Source organism: Homo sapiens, chromosome 10 (assembly GCF_000001405.40).
Source record: "Homo sapiens chromosome 10, GRCh38.p14 Primary Assembly".
NCBI lineage: Eukaryota > Metazoa > Chordata > Mammalia > Primates > Hominidae > Homo > Homo sapiens.
In genome coordinates this window covers 81,443,297-81,451,189 of record NC_000010.11, presented here as the reverse complement: position 1 = coordinate 81,451,189, position 7,893 = coordinate 81,443,297, and the positions used below count along the sequence as shown (strand labels likewise).

General features: G+C 38.3%; 1 annotated feature.

Moving 5' to 3' along the window:
* Positions 6,127 to 7,326: an enhancer, noted in NCBI's record as "MED14-independent group 3 enhancer chr10:83203620-83204819 (GRCh37/hg19 assembly coordinates)". NCBI's record gives its function as "activates an origin of replication core promoter dependent on BRD2, BRD4, P300/CBP and CDK7 cofactors, and independent of MED14, by STARR-seq in HCT116 cells {active_cell/tissue: HCT116}" and the evidence as "EXISTENCE:reporter gene assay evidence [ECO:0000049][PMID:35650434]".

The window sequence follows — 7,893 nt, the reverse complement described above, 5'->3', positions numbered from 1 at the left end:
GACAGTGTGCTGGGGAGAGGGAGAGCACAGTAAATGTGAGGCAGTGAACTCAGGACTGCCCTGTTATAGAAGAAAACAAAACTAAACCAAACTTAGCTGATGCCTGCCCATGGAGGCAGAATTTGAATCATCCCTAGCCAGAGGGGAATAGTCATCATAGTGGTCCACACCAAGCCTCCCCACTATTTTCTAAAGTGCTCTGGGACTCTAAATTAATTTGGAAGACAGTCTAGGCCAAAAGACTGCAACTCTTAGGCAAGTCCTAGTGCTAAACTGGGCCGAGAGCCATTAAACTGGGAAGGCAAACAGCTTACTGAGCCACTAGCTGGAGCAGCTAAGATAATGCTGGCATCACCCTTTCACAGCCCCAGGCTTCACAACAGGTAGCTCCTCTCAAGGAGATGACAGGAAAGAATGGGGAGGACTTTGTCTTGCATCTTGGATACCAGCTCAGCCACAGCAAGATAGGGCACCAGTCAAAGTCATGAGTCACCCTGTCCAAGCCCTGGCTCCTGGGCAACATTTTGGGACATGTTCTTGACCAGAAGAGAAGCTGCTGCCTTGAAGAAAAAAACCCAGTTCTGGCAGGATTCATCACCAGCTAACTGAAGAGCCCTTGAGCCCTGAATCACTAGCAGCAATAACCACCTAATACCTCAAGGGCCTTAGGTGAGACTCTAAGAGACTTGCTGGCTTGACATAAGACTCAGCAAATTCCCAGCTGTGGTGTCAATGAGGCAAGACTTCTTCCACTTGAGAAAAATGAAGGAAAAAGTAAAGAGTACTCTGTCTTGTACCTTAGATACCAGCTTGGACATAGGGTTGTAAAACATTAAGTGGGCTCTTGGGATCCCCAATTCCAGGACTTGGTTCTTTGATGGCATTTCTGGACCTGCTCTGAGCCAGACAGGAGCCCACAAACCTGAAAGTTGAGACCCAGCCAGGCAGTATTCACCACAAGCTCACTGAAGAGCCATTGAGTCTTAATGAAATATTGACGGGAGACTGGTAGTACTTCTCAAGGGCCTGTGGTGGTGGTGGCCACAAGATGAGTCTCCTCTGCCTTCAAAAAAGGAGGGAAGGATGAGAAGGATTGCACCTTGCAGTGTGAGTGCCAGCTCAACTGCAGTACAATAGAACACCAGGTAGAGTATTTAGGTTTTTGACTTTAGTCTCTGGCTCCCAGATGGCACCTCTGGATATGGCCAGACTCTGGGTACACATTGCCCTGAAAAGAAGGACACAGGCCTGGCTGGCTTCACCATCTACTGATTGCAGAGCCCTAGGGCCTACAGCAAACATAGGTGACAGCCAGGGAGTTGTTAAAGCAGGTTTTGGGTAAAACACTGTGCTGTGCAGACTTCAGGTCTGACTTAGCACGATATGAGTTGTGGTGTCCGTAGGAATGCTTGTGTCACTCCACCACAGCTCTAGTGGCTAAGAAAGAGAGAAACTCTGCCAGGCATGGTGGCTTATGCCTGTAATCCCAGCACTTTGGGAGGCTGAGGAGGGTGGATCACCTGAGGCTGGGAGTTCAAGACCAGCCTGACCAACATGGAGAAGCCCCATCTCTACTAAATATACAAAATTAACCAAATGTGGTGGCACATGCCTGTAATCCCAGCTACTTGGGAGGCTGAGGCAGGAGAATTGCTTGAACCCAGGAGGCAGAGGTTGCGGTGAGCTGAGATCATGCCGTTGCACTCCAGCCTGGGCAAAAAGAGCAACACTCCATCTCAAAAAAAAAAAAAAAAATGAAAGAGAGAGACATTCCATTTGTTTGAGGAAAAAAAAATAAGAATAAGAAAAGAGGACAAGAGTCTCTGCCTGGCAATCTAGAGTATTCTGAATCTTTTCCAAGACCATCAAGAATGTGCCTCTATGAATCTGCAAGAACCACAGAATTACTGGGCTTGGGTGCCCCTTAAAGCAGATATAGCTTAAATCACAACACCCAAATCATGTCAAATATCTGGAAAGACTTCCCAAGAAGGACAGGTACAAATAAGCCCAAACTGAGAGGACAACAATAAATACCTCACTCCTCACTTCACAGGCACACATGTATATCAACAAGTGTAAAGGCCATTCAGGAAAACATGACCTCAGCAAATGAACTAAATTAGGTACCAGGGACCAATCCTGAAGAAACAGAGATATGTGACCTTTCAGATAGAGAATTCAGAAGTCACTGTTTTGAGGAAAATCAAAGAACTGCAAGATAACACAGAGAAGAAAGCATTTTATCAGACAAATTTAACAAAGACATTGAAATAAATGAAAAGAATCAAGCAGATACTCAAGCTGAAAAATGCAATTGACATACTGAAGAATGCATCAGTCTTTTAACAACAGAATTCATCAAGCAGAAGAAAGAATTAGTGAGCGTGAAGACAGGCTACTTGAAAATACACAGTCAGAGAAGAAAAACTGAGAAGAATAAAATCAATACAGCACACCTACAGGATCTAGAAAATAGCCTCAAAAGGGCAAATCTAAGAGTTATTAGCCTTATCAAGGAGGTAGAGAAAGAGATAGGGGTGGAAGTTTTATTCAAAGGGATAATAACAGAGAATTTTCCATGCCTGGAGAAAGTTATCAATATACAAGTACAAAAAGGTTAGGGTAACCTCAACCCAAAGGCTCATGGTAACCTCAAACCAAAAAACATACAACAAATACACAAACAATAAAAATCAAGAAACTAAATCACATCACCATAGAAAGTCACCTCCACTAAAAGGAAGGCAAGAAGGAAAGAAGGAAGAAGAGAGCAAAAAAAAAAAAAAAAAGAAAAGAAAACAAATAACAACATGGCAGAAGTAAGCCCTTACTTAACAATATAACATTGAATGTAAATTGATTAAATTTTTCAATAAAAAGGCATAGAGTGGCTGACTGGATTTTATAAAAATGACCCAATGAACTGTTGCCTGTAAGAAACACACTTTAGGCCAGCATGGTGGCTGATGCCTGTAATCCCAGTTCTTTGGGAGGCTGAGGTGGGTGGATCTCCTGAGGTCAGGAGTTCAAGACCAACTATGGCCAACATGGTGAAACCCCATCTATACTAAAAATACAAAATAAGCTGGGTGTGGTGGCGTGTGCCTGTAATCCCAGCTACTCAGGAGGCTGAGGCAGAAGAATCACTTGAACCCGGAGGTGGAAGTTGGAGTGAGCAGGGATCACGCTACTTCACTCCAGCCTGGGTGACAGAGCAAAAGTCTGTCTCAAAAAACAAACAAACAAACAAACAAAAAAGCACACTTTACCTATAAAGACACACATAGACTAAAAACAAAAGGATGGAAAAGATATTCTATGCCAATGAAAAACAAAGAACAGCGGGAGTAGCTATACTTATATTAGACAAAATTGATTTCAAGACAAAAACTATAAGAAGAGATGAGGAAGGTCACTATATAACAATAAAGGGGTTAATTCAGCAAAAGAGTTTAACAATTTTACGTGTAATTGCACCCAACACTAGATCACCCAGATATATAAGCAAATATTGTTAGAGCTAAAGAGAGAGATCAGCCTCCATATAATAATAGCTAGAGACTTCAATATCTCACTTTCAGCATTGGATAGATCTTGCAGACATAAAACCAACAAAGAATATTGGACTTACTCTGCACTATAGGCCAAATGGACCTAATATATATTTACAGAACACTTCATCTAACGGTGGAAGAACACATACTCTTTTCCTCAGCACATGGATCATTCTCAAAGATAGACCACATTTTAGTTAACAAAATGCCTTAAAACTTTCAAAAAAATTGAAATAATATCAAGCATCTTCTCTCACCACAATGGCATAAAACTATAAAACAATATCAAGAGGAATTTGGGAAACTACACAAACACATGAAAACAAAGCAAGATACTCTTTAATGACCAGTAGGTTAATGACAAAATTAAGAAAGAAATTGAAAAGTTTCTTGAAACAAAAGTTGGAAGACAACATACCAAAATCTATGGGATACAGTGAAAGCAGTACTAATAGGGAAGTTAATAGCTGTAAGAACCTATGTCAAAAAAGAAGAAAAGCTTCAAATAAACAACCTAGTGTTCCATCTTAATGAACTAGTGAAGTAAGAGCAAACTAAACCCCCTATTAATAGAAGAAAAGAAATAATACAGATCAGAGAAGAAATAAATACATTTGAAATAAAGAAAGCAATAGAAAAGATTAATGAAATGAAAAGTTGGATTTTTGAAAAGATTAAAAAAAACTGAGAAAACTTTAGCCAGACTAATTAAGAAAAACAGAGAGAAAACCCAAATAAATAAAAATTACAGATGAAAAAGGAGACATTACAACTAGTAATTACAATTAATATTACAAGTAATAGTGAAGAAATTTAAAAAATCATTAGTTGCTACTATGAGAAACTTTATGCCAATAAATTGGAAACTCTAGAAGAAATGGACAAATTCCTAGGTACATATAACCTGCCAAGACTGAACAATACAGGAATTTAAAACCTCAACAGACCAACAACACATAACAAGATTGAAGCCATAATAAAACGTCTCCCAGTAAAATAAAGTCTGGGGCCTAATGGCTTCACTGCTGACTTCTAAGAAACATTTAAGGAGAAACAAATAGCAATCCTATTCAGATTGTTTCAAAAAGCAGAGGAAGAGGGAATGCCTCCAAAATCATTCTACAAGGCTAGTATTATCCTATACTAAAACCAGACAAAGACACATCAAAAGAAGAAGAGGAAGATGAATAAGAAGAAGAAGAAGAAGAGGAAGAAGAAGAAGAGTAGTAGTAAAAGAAAGAAGAAAGAAAAAAGAAAGAGAAAGAGAAAGAAAAAGACAGAAGGAAAAAGAAAGAGAGAAAGAAAGAGAAAGAAAGAAAGAAGGAAAGAAAGAGAAAGAAAAAAAGAAAGACTACAAGCCAATATTTCTGATGGATTTTGATGTAAAATCATCAATGAAATACTAGCAAACCAAATTCAACAATATATTAAGAAGATTACTCATCATGAACAAGTGGGATTTCTCTCTGGGATGCAAAGATGGTTCAACATAGGGAAATCAATCATTGTGATACATCGTAGCAACAGAATGAAGGACAAAAAACATGATAATTTCAATTGATGCTAAAAAGGCATTTGATTAAATTCAATATCACTTTATAATAAGAATCCTCAAAAAACTGGGTATGGAAGAAACATACCTCAGCATAACAACATCCAGATATGACAGACCAAAAGCTGGTTTCATGCTGAATGAGGAAAAATGGAAAGCCTTTCCTCTAAGATCTGGAACACAACAAGGATGCCTAATATTACCACTGTTACTCAACAGAATGTGGAAGTCCTAGCTAGAGCAATCAAATAAGAGAAATAAATAAATTGCATCCGAATTAGAAAGGAAGAATTAAAATTCTCCTTGTTGGCAAGTGATATGATCTTACATTTGTAAAAACTAAAGACTCCATCAAAAAACTATTAAAACTGATAAATAAATTCAGTAAAGTAGCAAAATACAAAATCAACATACAGGAAACAGTAGTATTTCTATATGTCAACAGTGAACAATCTGAAAAAGAAATAAAAAATTAATTTCATTTGTGGTAGCCACAAATAAAATTAAATATTATGGAATTAACTTAATTCCAAGATAAGTTGAAAATTCTCTATAATTAAAACTATAAAACAGTGATCAACAAAACTGAAGAGGACTCAAAGAAATGGAAATATATTATTCCATGTTTATGGTTTGGAAGAATCAATCTTGTTAAAATGTCCATACTACCCAAAGCAAGCTACAGACTCAATGCAATCCCTATCAATATATCAATGATAATTTTCACAGAAATAGAAAAAAATGATCCCAATATTTATATGGAACCACAAAAGACCCAAAATAGCTAAAACTCTCCTAAGCCAAAAGAGTAAAACTGGAGGAATCTCACTACCTGACTTCATATATACTACAGAGCTATAGTGACCCAAACAGCATAGTATTGGCATAGAAACAGACACATAGACCAATGGAACAGCAGACAGAACCTAGAAACAAATCCACACACCTACAGTGAACTGATTTTTTAACAAAGGTACCAAAAGCATACACTGAGGAAAAGAGAATCTTTTCAATAAACGGTACTAAGAAAACTGGATATCCATATGCAGAAGAATGAAACTAGATCCCTATCTCTTGCCATGTAAAAAAATAAAATCTAAATGGATTAACGACTTAAATCTAAGACTTCAAACTATGAAATTACTACAACAAAACATTGGGAAAAATTCCCAGGACATTGGTCACGGCAAAAATGTCTTGAGTGTATAAGTAAATGTGGTACTTACACACAATGGAGTCCTTATTTTTCAGCCATAAAAACAAATGAAATCCTGTCATTTGCGACATGGGTGGAACTGAAGATCATTATGCTAAGTGAAATAACCCAGGCACAGAAAGACAAGCAAAGGCAACAAAAGGAAAAATGAATAGGATCACATTGATGCGGGATTTTTTGTCCCTTAGTTCAGCCAAAATCCAGGTTCTTGTCACATGACCAGAAAAAATTAGGCATGCGGACACATGGAAATGTGAGGAGAGCAGAATTTATTAAAAGAAAACTGTCAGCAAAAAAAAGGGGGGATTGGTCAAAAAGCTCCTACCTCACAGACTGAGTACCAGGCCACCACACACACCAGCTGAAGAGGTCAGGCTCCTTCCTACCTGCATAAGGCGTGTATTTCTGGTAGCTCCAGGGCATTCTCCCAGTGCACAGGCAGGCCCCCAGTCTATTGTGGGCATGTCCAGACAAGACCCTGGGCAGGTTCCCTCATTTGCACAAAATCAACTGATACAAACACTTGTGGGGTGGATCGGAGATTCTCTGGGGATCCTCCCTTATCTGCCTCCTGCGTCTATCAGCATCAAGTTAAAAAGCTTCTGCACAAGCAAAGAAAACAATCAACAAAGACACAACCCACAAAATGGGAGAAAATATTTGAAAACTACCCATCTGACAAGGAATTAATAACCACGATATATACAAAGCTAAACAACTGTATGGAAAAAAATCTAATAATCTGATTAAAAATGGACACATGATTTGAATAGACATTTTTCAAAAGAACACATACTATTGGCAAACAGGCATATGAGAAGGTGCTCGATCTCATTGATCATCAGAGGAATGCAAATCAAAACTACAATGCAATATTATCTCGCCCAGTTAAAATGGCTTATATCCAAAAGATAAGCAATAACAAATGCTGGCGAGGATGTGGCAAAAAGGGAACCCTCTTACACTGTTGATAGGAGTGTAAATTAGTACTACCAACATGAAGAACAGTTTGGAGATTCCTTGAAAAACTAAAAATAGGACTGCTAAATGATTCAGCAATCCCACTGCTGGGTATATACCCAAAATAAAGGAAATCTGTATATCGAAGAGACAGCTGCACTGCTGTTTGTTGCAGCACTTTTTGCAATAGCAAAATGTGGACACAATCTAAGTGACCATAACAGAAGAATGGATAAAGAAAATATGGTGCTTATACACAATAGAGTACTATTCAGCCATAAAAACAAATGAAATCCTGTCATTTGCAACATGTATGGAACTGAAGGTCACTATGCTAAGTGAAATAAGCCAGGCACAGAAAGTCAACCGTCACACGCTCTCACTTATTTGTGGGATCTAAAAAGTCAATATAACTGAACTCATGGAGATAGGAGTAGAAGTATAGTTACCAGAAGCTGGGAAGGGTAGTGTGGGCTGGAGGTTGGAGGAGTGGTGTGGTGGTGGTAGGAATGGTTAATGCTTTAAAAAAAGAATAGAAGAATGAATAAGACCTAATATTTGTTAGTACAACAGGGTGACTATACTCAATAATAATTTAATTGTACATT